The sequence below is a fragment of the Homo sapiens genome, chromosome 2 (assembly GCF_000001405.40).
Source record: "Homo sapiens chromosome 2, GRCh38.p14 Primary Assembly".
Lineage (NCBI taxonomy): Eukaryota > Metazoa > Chordata > Mammalia > Primates > Hominidae > Homo > Homo sapiens.
The window spans coordinates 220,058,474-220,076,376 of record NC_000002.12 but is presented as its reverse complement, the minus strand read 5'-3'; the positions used below and the strand labels follow the sequence as shown (position 1 = coordinate 220,076,376).

The window sequence follows — 17,903 nt, the reverse complement described above, 5'->3', positions numbered from 1 at the left end:
GGAAAATTCCCCCTTATTTTACTCTTCAAATTTATTCGTATTTCCTTGTCAGCAGACTTTACCACTGACTGAAACAAAACATTGTTAAGAGCTCAAAAAGGCTCAATTCATGCTCTGAAACTCAGACACATCACTGGGGAGAAGGGTTTGCTGTCTCTGTCAAAGTCAAGGTACAGGGCTTTTGCATACAGGAAAACGATATGGAATTTATTTCACATACCTCATGCCTGCACTGTTTGTGCACAAATTTTGATAGGCACCTGGAAAAAACTAGAGCATATGTGTTGGCTCCAGAGCAATCTACTAACAAAGCCCTGCTGGCCCTCTGGAAGCAACAACCCCTTGTTTGCTGAGTCACTCCCAGAAAGCCATTTCTAGGAGGCATTAGCCAACACCCCAAGTGCTGGGGGCTGCCCAGGGGCTGGTGTGTTGAGAACAGCCCAGGATATAGTTAAGGTGGACTTGGAGATGGGACACCTGGCTATGAGTTCCATTATGTCACCAGGTGCCCTCAAATGCTCAGAAACTTGACATTGAGTCACCTCCATCGTGTGCATGCCAAGCTGAGAACCACTTTTCTCTCCTGCTCAGGCTCCAAGCTTTGGACCCCACCCCCATGTGACATTTGACTTTTACTGCCACTCAGGGCACCAGGGAGCCACAGAAGTTGGCCTGGGACAGGATGGGATATCTTTCACCCCTGTCATCTGCAACCCTTGGGATCCAAGCTCCACTTGTTTTTCTGTTCTCCACAGCAGCTACACCGTTTTACACTCCCACAAACAAGGGTTGTGCACAAAGCTTCCAATATTTTGACATACTCACCTACACTTGTTACTTTCTGTGTACAAACTTCACTTTCACCATGCCTCCCATATCCTAACTCCTACCACCATAATAAGAGCTAACTTTTGTTGAATGCTTACCTCAACCCAGGGGCTTTCTATGGATTATTTTAACAACGAGGAGGTCGAGACAGGAAGGTTATCTAATACAAGCAACCTGCCTATATTAGTCTGTTTTCATGCTGTTACAAAGGAAAGAGCTTTAATTGACTCACAGTTCAGCATGGATGGGCAGGCCGCAGGGAACTTACAATCACGGTGGAACGAGAAGGGGAAGCAAAGCACCTTCTTCACAAGGCAGCAGGAAGAAGTGCCAAGTGAAGCCGGGGAAGAGCCCCTTATAAAACCATCAGATCTCGTAAGAACTCACTAACACGAGAACAGCACGGGGGAAACTGCCCCCATGATTCAATTACTTCCACCAGGTCTCTCCCTTGGCACATGCGGATTGTGGGAATTATGAGGATTGCAATTCAAGATGAAATTTGGGTGGGGACACAAAGCCTAACCATATTACTGCCCAATGTCACAAAGCTAGCAAACAGGGATTTAAAGATAGATTTTTGAACTTCTCCAACTATGCCCTTAAATTGTATCCTACCCTCTGTTGTTGAGATACTGATCACATCAGGGTTGCCCTTGATATTAATCTGAAACCTGAGTGAAAATTGGGCAGGGGTGGAGGTTCATGCCACCACCCTCAGGATGGGCCTGGATAGAGACTGCATCACCTACCTTCCCTCAGTGCAGGATCCTGGATGGTGGTCTTAAACCATCAGTATCAAAACCACCTGGGAACCTCATAAAAGACCCACGCTCCCGGACCCTGTCCCACACCTGTGCAATCAGATTACTGAGGCTGAGACAAGGATCTTCGTGTTTAGCAAGCTTTCCAGGTGAGTCTTATACACACCACCATTTGAAAATCACAGATTAGAGAACCACAAAACTTCCCCCAAATCATCTATGGAACGATACTTGTTGACACTTTTTTTTGGTGGGGGGAGGAGTTTGGGGAGGAATTTCTCATGTTGATCTATGAAGCATCCCTATAGTGGCAGCAAATGCATTTTAATAGAATACCTCATCTGTTCCCTGACAAAACGTTTTTAGGAAAGAAAAACATTCCCCCACCAAAAAAAAAAAAAAAAAAATTGAAAAAGTGGAGAAAATTCAGTTAACTACAAGGCTATTTGGTTTGTTTTGGTTTTCACTAGCTTTGTTTTGTTTCATTTCGTTTTGTTTTGTTTTGCTCTTAAAATATTTTGATGTTTTAGCCTGCAGGGCCCACATTCCTTAAAATGTTTTTGCCCTCCAATTTCTGAGGAAATCTGGAGCTGGTGGTCCCACAGAAATAATGCCAGGGTTAGTCCCTGGGAGCTGCCCACAAGCTCCCAGCAGCCAGTGGCAGCAGAGAGGGTGGCAGCATGACCCCTTGTCAATAACCAGATATGATCAGTCTTCCGGGAAGGGGTTGTATTTTAGAAATATTGTCATGGAAATGTAGTATTTCAGACCTGAAAAGAAATTTAAAGATTGTTAGGTGGAGACCCCAACAGTTATTGTGATAGTCTAGAGACAGGAGGAGCCCACCAGCACTGGGAACCTTGACCGGGGTTTCCGACTTCTAGTCCAGATTCTGGAGAGACCCCACCAGTGTTTCCTGAGGGTCATTTATTTGTACAGCCTGTCACAGATCCATTTTCCTTCTGCCTCCCCTTTCCATCTGTGCTATTATTAACCTTCTCTTAAAACTAACGTTTTCAGTCAAGTTTATTCAAGAAGCAAATTTATAGAAGGTCCCAATCCTCCCTATCTGAACCCCCCAGAGGGGAAGGGCCAGATGGATTTAGACAAGGCAGGGGATGTCCTATTACTAAATTCTAACTAGATAATGTTAGCCACCTGGGGCTCTAAGCCTGGGGATCCTGCTGCTTCTTTGTCAAAAGGGAAGATTGTTGGGAGGCCGAGGCGGGTGGATCACTTGAGGTCAGGAGTTCAAGACCAGCCTGGCCAACATGGTGAAACCCCCATCTCTACTAAAAATACAAAAATTAGCCAGGCATGGTGGCATGCACCTGTAGTCCTAGATACTCTGGAGGATGAGGCAGGAGAATCGTTTGAACCTTGGAGGCCAAGGTTGCAGTGAGCCGATATTGCACCACTGCGCTCCAGCCTGGGTGACAGAGCAAGACTCCATCTCAAAAAAAAAAAAAAAAAAAAAAAGGAAGATTGGCAAATACCAGAGAACCATTAAAACCATGAACCATGCTACTGATTAACTGAGGCTTGCCTTGATTCTTCTGAGGATTAAAAGAATTGAAAAGAGGATGTAATTTAAAACATAATTTTAAATCCACCCTGCCTGCAGTCCTCTCCAGCCCACCAGTGTGGCCTGTCCTTTGGTTAAGGATGCCTGCACTTCGGTGACAACCACACCATACCACCCTGCGGCCTCGGGTTGTATTCCACCTCTCCCCCTTGACTGTTTCTGTTTATGCTGTGCAGAGACACTAGATCCTGTCACACGACGGAATTGGCAGTGGTCACCCTTTCCAGATAAACGCATGAATGAAGAGGCAGTTTTCTCTTTTCTTCCTCGGTGGTGGCTCTCATGCCCTAAAACAATGAAATGTACAAAGGTGAGACATGTTAAACTACTCTTCAGCTCAAACATCTTACTTGTTTCCTGCTCCCTATAAAACAAGATGTGATATAAATCATTCTAACATTTAAGGCCCTTCACCACCTGATTTCAGCACGCTTTTTACAGAATCAAAGTCCTTCAGAGTTAGGATTAGATCTGGAGACCTTCCATTCCCATGGAGTCTCCAGCCAGGCCTCCAGTACTTTGGAATCAACCAGGGGCACCAAATCCACCAGAGATAAGTGCTTCTCAGCCTAGCTGCCCCTGGGAATCACTTGGTGAGCCTTGCAAATTCCCAAAGCCTACATTGCTCCCAAGACCCATCGAATCAGAATCTCTGGAGTTGGAACTGAGGCATTCCTAGTTTTAAAAACAAGTCAAATAATTCCACTGTGCAGCAAGAGAACCATGACCCTGGGACCACACTTCATATCTACGGAAACATGACATTCACAGGATGGACCCAGGAGTCTGTATTTTAAATAAACACTCGGGGAATTGTCATATAAGATCAGATTTGAGAACTAGGACTAGTTCAGCTCCCATAGTCTATAGATTAAGAATCAGAAGCCCCATACTAAATCACAGAGCCTGCATCGAAAACTAGTTAGTAGCAAAACTAAAAGCAGAATCCATATGTCCAGATTCCCTGTCCCATGCTCCTTCCATGATGCTATTCTGCTTTCTAACCTTTCCTCACTCCAAGTTTCCCATATATCTTCTGCTCCAGCCAGGCCCATCTGTCCATTGACCCCTAAATACATTGTGGCTTCTGTCATGTTGGTACCACTGACCCCACCTGGAATAGTCTCACCATTCCTTCCAGCCTAACTCGGTTCTAGGCTTGGCTTTCTGTAAGGTTGGTTCCATTTCCTGTGTAAGCTTTCTTAGCTGCCACTGCTGCACACTCCACCTCTCCCTTCCCTCGATCCCTGTAGCACTTACAGTCACAGCTTAGCATTGAGTTATTATGTGGTAACACAGGCTAGAAACTGCCAGAGGCAAGAGACCATGGCTTATTCCCTTCTCACATCCGCCCAGTGCACTCAGAATAAACACTCAGCAAATGCTCCTCCATTCCCAGACAGAAAGGCTCAAGACTCATTCACGTATACCTTGTTGAAAATCACCTTTTAGGCCCCTTTCACATATCTGTTGCAAAGAGCAAAAAAGAATTACTTTCCGGGTTTCCTTTCTCCTATTTCCTCTTAAAAGAATGGCCTTGGGTTTATGTGAATTTGATGTAAATTTGATGCCCAGTAAATTGATGCCCAGAGTACCTAACATTTCAAGAGATCAGCATGACATATGCATAGATATTATGCGTCTTTTGTGTGTTGTCATTCAGCAAATGTCAATGGCTTTTCAGAATAATAGACAATCCTGAGCTATTGCCACACCTGCATATGTACTGCCAAAAACCACTCAGTTCTAGAAATATGCAGAAAATCTCCCTAATGCCTCAGGAAATGAAGGGACATACAAATATGGCAGCTCTCATCATTTACCTCATCAGCACTTAGCTCAATTACCATCTTCAAATCAAAAGGCACTGAAGCTTCCAAACCTGGAGTTCGACTTTAAGGTTCCTCATCAAGAAAATTCTCCAGTTTCTCAATGGTTTTTATTAGAGCCATAGTAAGCTAATGGATATTTTGTGTGCATAAAAAGTGACCAACCACGCCTGTAATCTCAGCACTTTGGGAGGCCGAGGCAGGCGGATCACGAGGTCAGGAGATCGAGACCATCCTGGCTAACACGGTGAAACCCCGTCTCTATTTAAAAAAATACAAAAAATGAGCCGGGAGTGGTAGTGGGCACCTGTAGTCCCAGCTACTCGGAAGGCTAAGCCAGGAGAATCATTTGAACCTGGGAAGCGGAGGTTGCAGTGAGCCGAGATTGCGCCACTGCACTCCAGCCTGGGCGACAGAGCGAGACTCTGTCTCAAAAAAAAAGAGAAAGAAAAAGTGATCAAGATATAAATGACCTTGTGAGTGGTTTACATGGAAGATTCTATGCTGGTAGAAATCTATAATGGTGCGGTCACTTTGAAAAATAATCTGTCAGTTCTTCAAAAGGTTAAACATAGAGTTACCCTATGATCCAGCAAGTCCATTCCTAGGTATAACCCAGGAGAAATAAAAACATACGCCTACAGAAAAAAAAATACATAAATATTCATAGCAGCATTATTCATAATAGCAAAAAAATGAAAACAACATAAATTTCCATCAACTGATGAATGGTTAAGTAACATGTGGTATAGCCATACAATAGAATATTCAGCCATAGTAAGAAATGAAGTACAGACACATGCTGTAATATGGATGAACTTTGAAAGCATTATGCTAAGTGAAAGAAGCCAGTGACAAAGGGCTGCCTGTTATATTATTCCATTCATATGAAATAGGCAAACTCACATAGGCAGAAAGTTTATTAGTGGTTGTCTAGGGCTGAAGGGGAGCAAGGGGTTGGGGAGAACTAGGGAGTGGCTGCTATGGGTACAGAGTTTCTTTTGGGGGAGATGAGAATTTTCTAAAAATTGTGGTAACAGTTGCATACCTGAATATGCTAAAAACCATTGAATTATATCCTTTAAAGGAGTGAATTGTAATGTATATGAGTTATGTCTTAATAGAGTTGTTACTTTTTTTTTTTTTTGAGATAGAGTTTTGCTTTTCTTGCCCAGGCTGGAGTGCAGTGGCACTATCTCGGCTCACTGCAACCTCTGCCTCCCCAGTTCAAGCAATTCTCCTGCCTCAGCCTCCCGAGTAGCTGGGACTACAGGTGCGCACCACGACACCCAGCTAATTTATATATATACATATTATTATTATTATTTATTTATTTTTTTTAGTAGAGATGGGGTTTCACCATGTTGGGCAGGATGGTCTCAATCTCTTGACCTCATGATCCGCCCACCTCAGCCTCCCAAAGTGCTGGAATTACAGACATAAGCCACCACGCCTGGGCCCCAAAGTTGTTACATTTTTTAAAGTTTAAAGAAAATTGAAAATTCCAATTCTTCTTTGAACCTCTTAGTAGCAATATAATCTCGAGCAACTTGTTTAACCTCTCTAGGCTTCTATTTCCTCATCAGTAAAATGTACCTGCATATTGTAAGGATTAAATAAAATAATCCATATGGAGGGTTTAAACTTATAGAAAGCCCTCCATAACTGTAGCTATTTTTTCTGTGATTCCCTAATTCCTGGAGGAAGAGTGTAAATCTAGGAGCCTCCTGCCACAAATCTAACTGAATTCTATATATATATAAAAAAAAAAGCAGCAGCCATAACATCAGAAAAGGACTCAGAAATTAGAGGAAATCTTCCCCAGAATCATTCTTTCCCTTGGTCCGATGGCCCAACCCCACCTTCTCCTTGCCTCCACCCCCATCACCAATGTGAAAAAAAAAAAGACTTAAAAGATCCCTTTCCCTGTCTGCATCATTTCCACTCAGTGAACTGCCATTTCAGCTGCTGCAGTGACATTCCACAACTTCTGGAGTCTTGGAAGAACTAACCAGGAGAAGCAATGTGCATTTAATTAAAGCAACGGGTGGAAGGCAAATGGAAGAATGCTTACCTGCTGGGTACACCTCACACATCTTCACAGGCTCAGGAAAATTCCACTCTGAAGGGCACTGAAGCTATTACTATCTGGAGCAGCCAGCCAGTGAGAAATTATGCTCTGGGTTTTTGCTCAGCCAGCTTTCATTACTGTTGAGAAATATCACCATATAATTCAACTTAGCTCAAGTCTTACCTCCCCTCTGAAGACGTTCTGGCCATCCCAATCCACAGCGATTACTCCCACCACTGAGTTCCTGGAGGATTCATGTGATAACATGAAATCACCCAGGACTGAGGCCAGCACATTAGCAGCTGCTCAAAAACCATCTCCCAGCCATCCTATAGCACTTATTATTGGCACTGGTCCTTTGGCTCCTAGCAAACTCCACCCTGTGTTATCATTTATCTTTTTATATATCCATGCTCCATCTCCCCAGTCCCTCTGTAAGTCTGGGGAGAACAGGGATCCTATGGTATGCTTTCCCATTTCCCAGCATCATGAGCTCCTCTGGAATAAGGTGCTCAATAAACATTTGTTTATGATGATAACACCCATCCCCCATTTTTTGCAGGATAACGACTGCAAATATGTGGGGGAAAGTAGTACCGTAATATTTACACAATTTAAATGCACGTTTTGCCACTGAGACTTCCAATCAAAGTTGCATGAATCAATGGGAGGATTTTCTTAAAACAGTGGAAGGAAGAAAGTTGTACTTAATTATGACAAACTGTACTCAAAATGTACTTATAGCTAACCTAGTTGACCTAATCCTCCCCAAACCTCCATCCAGTTGCTATTACAAATTCAGGGCTGAATCTGAGGAGACAAGGTAAGAAGCATTATAGAAGTTTGGCCAAAGATAGGTTATTGAGTCTGAAAGAAATTCATTTGCATCCTAGTCCAACCTTGTTCTTGTTGGACACACAGAACAACACTGAGCCTCAGTTTTCTTGCCTAGCTCTTCTAGGATAATAAAATATACATTTTACTATCATTGTGAAGTAAAGGCACAATGCTCTGGCTGGGTGTAGTGGCTCACGCCTGTAATCCCAGCACTTTGGGAGACTGAGGCAGACAGATCACTTGAGTCCAGAGTTCAAGACCAGCTTGGGCAACATGGCAAAACCCTGTCTCCACTGAAAATACGAAAATTAGCCAGGCACAGTGTCAAGAACCTCGTGGTCCCAGCTACTTGGGAGGCTGAGGTGGGAGGATCATTTGAGCCTGGGAGGTCAGGGCTGCAGTGAGTGGGGATCGGGCCACTGCACTTCAACCTGGGCAACAGAATGAAACCCTGTCTCAAAAAAAAAAAAAAAAGCACAATGCTCAATAAATAGCAATTATAATTACTGCAGTGCCTTAATCATTAATTTTTGGAGGTCCCAGGGCTCCCTGTACCCCCAAATCCTTTCTCTTCCTAGCTGAGTTATCTTGGACAAGTTATAGCTTCCTTACCTGTTAAATGGGAATCATACTTTCTATAGTCTGGTGTCTGTGACAAAGACCGCAAGCTATCCATCAGACATTCCATTCCTTTTCTTCCTGACTTTCAGCTAGGCTACATTTACCAGTCAACCCTGAAGTCCTGGGTGTCTCTGAGACTCAGTTCTAGTCAACGAAATGGGTACAGAAATAATCACATGTAACTTCTAAGCCAGAATTATAAAACTTCCCAAACTCACTTCTCCATGCTCTTTTCACTCCCTCCCTCTGGATGTTGACATCAGAGGTATACTTGGAAGCTGTATGTTGTAGAAGTCTTCCATCAGCCTGGGTCCCTGAATCTCCATGTGGAACAGAGGCCCCACCTCTGTCACTCACCCCATCCTTGATATCATTGTCCTGAAACCAAACTGAGCTATGTTGTAAAGGAAAATTATTGTGTTAAGCTACTGAAATTCAGGGATTTATTTGTAATAGCAGTTTAACGCTAATCCTAATATTTGTCCATAAAAACTTTTGATATTTTGATAAAAAATAAAGATACATATCTATGATATTGAACTGTTATGACTCAGGAGTTTATATATTTATAAATATACATAAATTTGAGCTATCATCATAGCTCAATATCCTCCTGAGTCCTGAGTCATAATAGCTCAATAATGGTTTATTCCCTTCTATTCATAAGTCTGCTACCCACCTGAAAATACACCAATAAAATAAAGTGGGAATTTTTGCTTTGGAGAAAGAGTTTCCTAGGAATATATAAATGTACAAATTAGAGGTAACTCTTGTAAGTTTATCATCAGGCAACATTTTTAGGAGAGTTGTGACCATTTACAATCTCAAATCTCTCTGTGATCTGGGATATGATGCTTGAAACTTGACTTGAAGCTGAGAGAGGTAGAGGTTCTAACACAAAGACTCCCACCTCACTCTCTGCACAGCAGAACCTTTCAAGTTTTCCGGAGCAGGTCAAACTTGTCTGTAACTTACCAGACATTCTGTAATCATGTATAACGCATCCTTTTATTGTGGCTAATTTGGAACTGTTTGTTTTCTAAGCTTCTTTTACAATGGAAATTTTTTTTCACTCTAACACCTTCTTATTAAGGTCTGGATATAGTTCTTTTAAAAACTAATCCTGACTGAAGTCAGCCAGCCATGCTCCATTCCACACCCACGCTCATCCTACCCACTGGCAGGGCATCTGTGGAGGCTGGCACCAGGTAGTGGAGTGAGGTGGGCACAGGGAGAAATTGGGAGGGTGGGGCTGGAGGATGGGAGGATGGGATTAATAGAGGTGGGGAGAGAGAAGCCAGGAGCAAGGCCAATGTTGTGAACACAGACTATGACTTTGCAAGTCACTTATTTCAGGCAGAAACAGGAAATCCATTTGCAAGAAATAATAATATTAGTCATTGTTATTTAATGGGGAAATAATTGCAGATGGACTGGACTAACATTTGTGGGAGGCAGGGATTAGGGCCAAGAGTTCATTATGGACACGACCAAGAAGTGCTGTGCTGCCATGTCTCCTACTCTGGGCACTCCTGGGCTGCCCATCACTTGTGACAGGCAGTGGTCAGAAAAGTGAGTGACCGCACCGAGTGGCCCTGGCCACAGAGTGGTCTCTAGGCATTTGGGTGCACCAGGCAGCCCAAAAATTGGGGGGTCACTTCAGATTGATATTCTTTAAATCCAGTATTTATTTAGTGGGGTAGAGAAGGCATTAGAAAGGAGTGTTTCATTTTTGAAGTTCCATTTGGAGGTACTGCCTACTTCTCTGGTTAAGTGTAATAACCTGAATTAATTGACAGGCTGTTTCCAATTTTCCAGTGACGTCTTAACACTTCTGAGCAATTGCCCAGCAGACCTGCCCCTTAATTGGGCTCCTGAGTGATTTTCCCTGTTGAGGGAGTGCCAGGGTGTAAACAGACAAACCAGACACACCCCCAGATTTTGACCCATCCCTCCTCTTCCCCACCTGGAAAGAGGATCTCCTTTCAGGACTAAGAACCTTTAATATCTAGTAATGACTTACACTTCAACGCAACCAAGTGTGGGATCACATCCTACGTTTCTAATGACTCACTTTGGGAAAGGAGGAATGATAAGGCAAAGAGAAATAAAATCTGCATGACTGGGGGAGAAATATTTCCAACAGAAATGTCTATTAAATTAATATACAATCTCATGAGAATGCTGGTGCAATTCAATATTGAGCTGAGGAAGTGACAAGAAAGTGTTTTACTGATGAGGCAACCTGTCTCTGGGAGCTTTCTCCAGGTTGCCTGCTGTTTTGATTCTACTTCTACTCTTCAGTCTTCTGACTGGACAGTTTCTTCTCAGATATTGTGTATGTGCATACGTGTGTGATTATATATATATATATATATATATATATATATATATATATATATATATATTATGTATATATATGTGTGTGCATACATGTGTGTGCCTGGGCATGTGTGCATGTTTGAATTGCAGTTTGCAAAACCACAAGATATTTTAGTATTTCATTTTCCTGGATTGTACAAACCATAAATTCATGTGACAGTGTTTCCAATTCAAGGCTAAATCATATTGAAGGAACAAAAACATTATACATTTTTTTCAGGTGTTTACATCTGATCAGAAGTACCGAAATGGTACAAAATCATTGTAGTGAAAAACATTTTTGTGACAGAACACAAAGACCCAGGAGGTAGAGAAAAACAACTTTAATTTAGAAAACCCACAATGTCTAGACCTGTTCTGTAATATATAATACTTTGAGTCATTCTGTGTAGTTCCTTAGTATTGCAAAACTAAATGGATATTTCTTCCTGAGACTAAAAATATACATATAATTAATAAAATTTAATTCTTTACCCTTCCTCTCTCTCAAAAAAATAAATTACCTGACCTTCAAAACACGTCTGTGTCTAACTTTGTTAAGGGTTGCCTTTGTGTTTTCTTATAGCAGGAGACTGGTGGTTTAGTCCAAGCTGTCACTCAAACTCTGTGGGTTAAAAGGTCTCCATTTATTTATCTTGGTGCTCATATTAACCAGTTAAACGGTCGAATAGCAGTCAACGACTGGGAAAAACAGATATTTGAGAAGCAAAACATCTGGTACTTGGAAAATTACAGAAGTTCTTTGGTGGAATTTATTATTAACCAATTATTGACTAAGCATAAGAAGTTGCATATTTTCCTACCTTTGAAAATAATAAATCATGTGAAGTGACACACATCGTTTACAAATAGTTGGTAAAAATTGTTCTGCAGACCTATCAAAAAAAGAGGCCTCAGGGAGCTTTTATTTTCCGACTACTGACATCCTGGGATGTGAAGCTGACATGTTACCTGCCCTTCCCCCAAAACACACACACACAGACAAGGCAAGAGAAAAGCTGAAATGTAGAACTGGGCTTGGTGACATGAAGTTGCAGTGACTCTATGGAGAAGGAAGGAGCTGTCTACACTTTAATGAGGCCAGAATCTACTCTTTAAAAGCAAATGCACCAGCTGCCCACTCAGCATGGGTCACCTTCCCGGCTTCCTCACATCTGTCAGTAACACTACCAGTCTCCGAAGCAAGAAATCCGTCATCATCGGCCACTCTCGGCCTCCAACCCTACACGCAATCTGTGACCAAGCCCTGTCATCTCCACTCAGAGCCTCTCCATTCACCCTTCCTGGACCACAGGGAAGAGTTGTTTTAAGTATAAACAAACACAAGGGAATGCCGTTGTCAGGACATCCTGCCGGTATCACCACCCTGGTCCCAGCCTTCTATTCTGCCAGTGAAGACACAGGCCACCGAGACAGGATTTGTTCTGGGGATGAATGGAGGGCACGCAACCCCACTGACACCTTGATTTCAGACCTCACGCCTCCAAAACTGTGAGAGAATAAATGTCCGTTGTTTTAAGCCACCTACTTTGTGGTAATGTGTCACAGCAGCCACAAGAAACTAATACAAGGGCAGAGAGAATTATCTGGATCATTCACAGTTTGCCTAAAATAGGTGATTGAGACACAATTAGCTTGAAGATCTAAGTCATCTCCATATTTACCTTGTTCTCCTCTTTACTTTGGATATGTACAGGGATATGTAATAGTCTCTGAGCTATTAATACTAATGATGGTCATTATTTTTATAATTTTATCTATCATTTATTAGGTGCCAAGCTCTGGTGGCTTACAGCAATTATCTCAGTCTGTTTCCTACATCAGGCAGATCTCATTATCAACCCCATCCATTGAAGACCTTAGCCCATAACAAAAAAGTAACCTGGAAATAAATCCATTTATTCCTCTAGATATTTACATAGCTCTTTCTGCTGAAAGCATCTAACCTACGCAAATTCTAGATTTCTGTTCATCTATTCCTCACACCATGGCAACTGGGAGCTCCATAGGTCTCTTGAACTGTATTTTTCTGTAGACTCTGTTCTTGCTTTTGATCTTCACTGAGGAAACACACGGGCTTCTCCAAGGATAGCCTAGCCCCTGGATCACATGCTGTTCCTGCAACAGAGCCCCACAGCTCAGCACCAAGCAATCACTTTCTTTCCTGGGGCCTCTCTCCAAAAACCGATCAGAGGAGATGTCTGATGAAGGATGCCCATACCATCCTTGTGTGCTCCCTGGACATTCCTGCAAATGGCACTGTTGTGACAGGAAATGACAAACAGATGCCCCTCGACCCTTGCTGCCCCCAAGGTGACTGATCACTAGGTCAGCACGTGGCCTTTGCATTTGAGCAGAGCCGAAGCCCAGGCTTTTTAATTGGTGGTGTCGTAAGTTACAGCTGCGATTGATTAGAGACAGATTCTCTTCAAATAAAGCTTTTCTTTTGTTGTTGTTTTTGTTGTTCTTAACCCGAAGTCATGCAGAGGGGAAAAATGGAAACTTATTCAAGTGCCAGGTAGGGAAACAAAGTATCTTTTGTGATTAAATAACAATAAGAGATTGCATTTATAGCTCAGAAGAATGACATATCCAGTAAACTTCCAGAAGGAAACTGGAGTAGAAACCTGTACTCTATCACAAACATTTGCTGTGATCTTTAATGCCAGACTTCAAAACCAAGTTTCTCTCTTATTTTTCCCGCCAAAATTTTACTAAAACAACAAGATTAATTGCACTGTGCTTTTTTCTCCTCTTTAGTTTTTCCTTGGGTAAGGAAGACACTTTGGTGAGAAACAAAACAAACCTGTAATGTACCAGGCCTGGTTTACGACAAACCTACTAGACTGGTACAACAAACGAGCCTGCCAGCTTCCAAGAAGTTATCTTAGGAGACCAAACACTTAACACTTACTCCAGCAATGCCAGGACTTTATTCAAAAGTTCTTGGCATTTCTCTTTGGAGAATTCCTTCAAAGTCTGTTTCTGAACCAACCACATGAAAAGCTGGAGCAGTGCATCATACTCAACCTCAGACTTAGGTCCAAAAATGGCATTGTTGTGTTGGCAGTTCTTTGTACTCAACAGACCAGTGCTTCTCTGCAGAGGTCGGGGGAGGGTGATTTTGCCCCCACCAGAGGACATCAGTCAGTGTCTGGAGACATATTTGATTGTCGCAACTAGGAAGTGAGGTGCTACTGGCATCTGGCGGTAGAGGCCAAGGATGCTGCTGTGCACAGGACAGTCCTCCACGATGAAGAATTATCCAGCCAAAAATGTCAGTAGTACCACGATTGAGAAACCCCACACCAGACTCAGCTGCAATTGACTTCAGGACAGTGAGATCCTCCCTCTGAAGATTGAGATGTTATTAGGAAGAATTTCTTGAGTCTTTTGATAGGATTTCATCAGTTAACAACATATTGAACAAAAGCAACATCATTAGGAAAAAAAAATTGGTTTCCCCAAAGGAAAATTTTGAAGAGGAACAACTCATTTGATCTCTCTGCTCACTCAGGTGGTTACCAAGAGAGCTGCATGTGCTCAGGGATGCCTTCCTGAGATGCTCCAGTTACACTGTCTCCCAGGCTACAGGTTCTTAGCTTTCTTTTTGAAGCTGCTAAATCTCTTCTCAAAATGCAATTGTGGTTATGTGAAGTTCAATATTAAAAACAAAAAAAATTATAGCGTTTCTCTACTTGCAGAAAGGGTAGACAGGAAGGGCTGGAACCTTCCTTGTTCATGGCCACCCGTAACCATCTCTGCCCCTCCCCATTGTACCCCGTTCCTAGGACCCTGCGAGTGTTACTTTGAAGACCACTGTCCAGCAACCGAGCTGTGAAGGCGCAGAACAGTGTGTATCAGGAGAATTCATGCGGTGGTGTGCTGATCCACTTCATGACACCACGTTCTGACCCTTGGGCCCTAAAATATATTCCCTTGGAAATGTTTCTGTCAAGTCAATTTATCTACTAGGTTCTGAGGAGCAACAGCATTGGCTGTCTTTCCTTGAGGACTCCTATTCTAACTAATTAGAAAATCACTTATGCGAATAACACATAAGTATAATTTATAAAGCAATAGAAGTAACCACAAAGCAGGTGATTTTTTAAAATCTATCATTTTAGCATGCCTTAGGCACTTTTCTGCCCTCCCGACACCTACCTTCAGTGTGCTGAAAATAATGCTATGCTTATAAAGCAAAAATTAGAAATGTTGATTCTAATTTGCCATTTGGACTCTAGGAAATAGGATGGCTTAAGGCCAGATTGCATTCTACACTCCTAACTACATGGGATGCTAATCTTTGTTCCAAATAGTCAAAAGCAGCATCAGCTGAAATAATGTAACTGAATTGTAAAAAGTGTTTGGATTAAAACTCCATAACATTGATAAGGAAATGTGTCAGTCCATTTAGTCTGCTATAACAAACTACCTTAGATTTGGTAATTTATAAACATAAAATTTGTTCTTTTTATAGTTCTAAAGGCTGGGAAGCCCAAGATCAAGGCACCAGTATCATCTTAGAAAAATGAGACATTCAGGGAACTTCCTAGCAGAAATTGAAATAAAAACCTATGCTCTATCATAAACATTTGCTATGATCTTTAATGCCAGACTTCAAAACCAAGTTTCTCCCCTATTTGGTGTCTAGTGAAAGCCTATTTCTCATAGAAGGAATATTCTCACTTTGTGCTTACATGGTGGAAGGGGCAAACAAGGTCCCTGGAGCCTCCTTTATAAGGGCACTCAGCCCATTCATGAGGGTTCTGCACTCATGACCTAATCACCTTCTACACGCCCCATTTCTTAATACGATTGCACTGGAGTAGGTGTCAACATATGAATTTGGGGGGGACACAAATCTATAGACCATAACAAAGGAAGAAAAAGAGAAAATTATCCCCAAATACACCAGAGACCACCCAAACTGGGCATCATCTAGGTGGGAATCTCTTAAAATGCTATTTTCTGCTTGAGATGAAAGGCCCTAATTCTGCCTGCGATCATCAGCCTTCAAGAAGCGTGCTCCACCCTCTTGATAGTCACACTTTTGTGTAGTCCCTCCCACACTGCTCCAGGGCTGAGTCTATGTGACCAATAGCATACGGCAAAAGTAGTGATATGAGACTTCCGAGTTTCCATGTTGTAAACTGACCTATGGAAAGGCCCACATGCTGAGGGGCTGATGGGAGGCCCCCAGCCAACAGCCAGGAGCCTGTGAAAACTGAGGCCTGCCAACAACCATGGGAATTAACTAGAAGAGGATCCTCCCTCAGTTGAGCCTTTAGATGAGACTACAGGCCCAGCCAACAACATGGCAGCTCACAAGACACCCTGAGTCAAAACCTACCCAACTGCATCACTTTTGGATTAATATCCCTCAGACACTGTGTGAAATAATAGACGTTTGCTATTTTAAATGGATGAGCTGTTATGTAACAATAGATAATTAATATTCTGCCTCAACCATATCCTCAGGCCTAAGAGAGATGGATTATGAAGGAAGAGTTTTATAAGATATCTAAAAGTAGGATCAAACTAAGGGAAAGATGATCAGAATTGGGTAGAGAGGGCAGTGAGAAATAGCCACTGTGATAACTCTGTAACTACCAGGACCAGCTCGTTATTTTTATTATCTCCTATTTCCATGAAGTAATCAACACATAAACAAAAAGAGCCTGTGAACTTTCACTAGGACAACAACCAGGACTGAACAGAAAAAAATGGACTTCTTCTCTGTAGCCAAGGTTCTAGGGGTAGAAGAATCCCAAGAGAAGGAAGCAGACAGACTCTGGGACCTTCCACATGGAAGAAGAGGAGAAAACGTGGAAGCGCTTTAAGTCTGAAATAGGGGCTGAGAGCTTAACTCCTTGAAGCATTCATTGAACAAACATTAACTGAGTATCTATTATATTTAGTGTGCCAGACACTGTGAGAGCTGCAGAGCAGAATGTTATTCAGGTGGAGGTGTGCATCAGATGCCACGGGAGACTAGTGAAGAGACAATTACATTGTAATCAAGAAGGAGGAGTCAAAAAAGCCTTTCAAGGCCAGGTGCAGTGGCTCACACCTGTAATCCTAGCACTTTGGGAGGCTGAGGCAAGCGGATTGCCTGAGCTCAGGAATTCGAGACCAGCCTGGGCAACACGGTGAAACCCCATCTCTACTAAAATACAAAAGAAATTAGCTGGGCGTGGCAGTGTGCACCTGTAGCCCTAGCTACAGGTGCTGAGGAGGCTGAGGCAGGAAAATTGCTCAAACCCAGGAGCCAGAGGTTGCAGTGAGCAGAGATCATGCCATTGCACTGCAGCCTGGGCAACAGAGCAAGACTCTGTCTCTACAAAAAAAAAAAAAAAAAAAAAAGGCTTTCAGGAGTAGTGGAGAGTTGTGAGTTTTGATGAACTAGTGAACCAGAAGGAAAACTAGAAGAAAAATATTCCTGGAAAATGCAACATGCACAATGACACAGAGGGCAAAACATCATGACAAGCTAGGAGAATTGCAGATAATGCAGGATAGTTGGAGGGAAGAATACATTCAGGAGGCTTGTAGAAAATGAGGATATAAAGAGGTCACTAGGGCAAAATCACAAAGGTATTTATGGATAAAAGTATTGAGTTTCAACTTGGAAATTAAAATCTATGGTTAACCATTGAAAAGCTGTAAGCATGCGTGCATTCACTCATTCAACAAATATTAATGGAGCATCCCCCTGAGCAAGACCTTATACTGGCATAGCACTAGGGATACCTCAGTGGACAAGATAGATGTGGTCCCTGCCCTTGTTGCACTTACAGTTCAGAAGAAAAAATATGCAACTGAATTCATATTTTAGCAGATATGATCCCTTTAGTAGTTTTGTAGGGAATGGGCAGGCATGGGAAGGGGAGGGAAGAATGAAGGTTTTTCAGATGCATTTCCAAAACCATCCTCATAGTCTATCCTTCCCTCTGGCCTCACCTGTCTTCACATTTACCAAAGAC

At 42.4% G+C, this 17,903-nt stretch overlaps 1 long non-coding RNA gene across 2 annotated transcripts in view; it reads right to left on the bottom strand.

Annotated features, from left to right (window-relative positions):
* LOC105373893 (uncharacterized) overlaps positions 1-8,665 on the bottom strand; it is a 428,255-nt gene extending 419,590 nt beyond the window's left edge. The window contains exons 1-3 of one of the 2 annotated variants that reach the window (XR_923931.3): positions 8,527-8,665; positions 7,081-7,214; positions 2,601-3,464 (exon numbers count right to left, since the gene is read on the bottom strand). This is a non-coding gene — a long non-coding RNA (uncharacterized LOC105373893). Of the gene's footprint in view, positions 1-2,600; positions 3,465-7,080; positions 7,215-8,526 lie in introns of those variants that run through there. The other variant, XR_001739889.2, reaches the window with a different exon arrangement.
* Between the last annotated feature and the right edge of the window lie 9,238 nt (positions 8,666-17,903).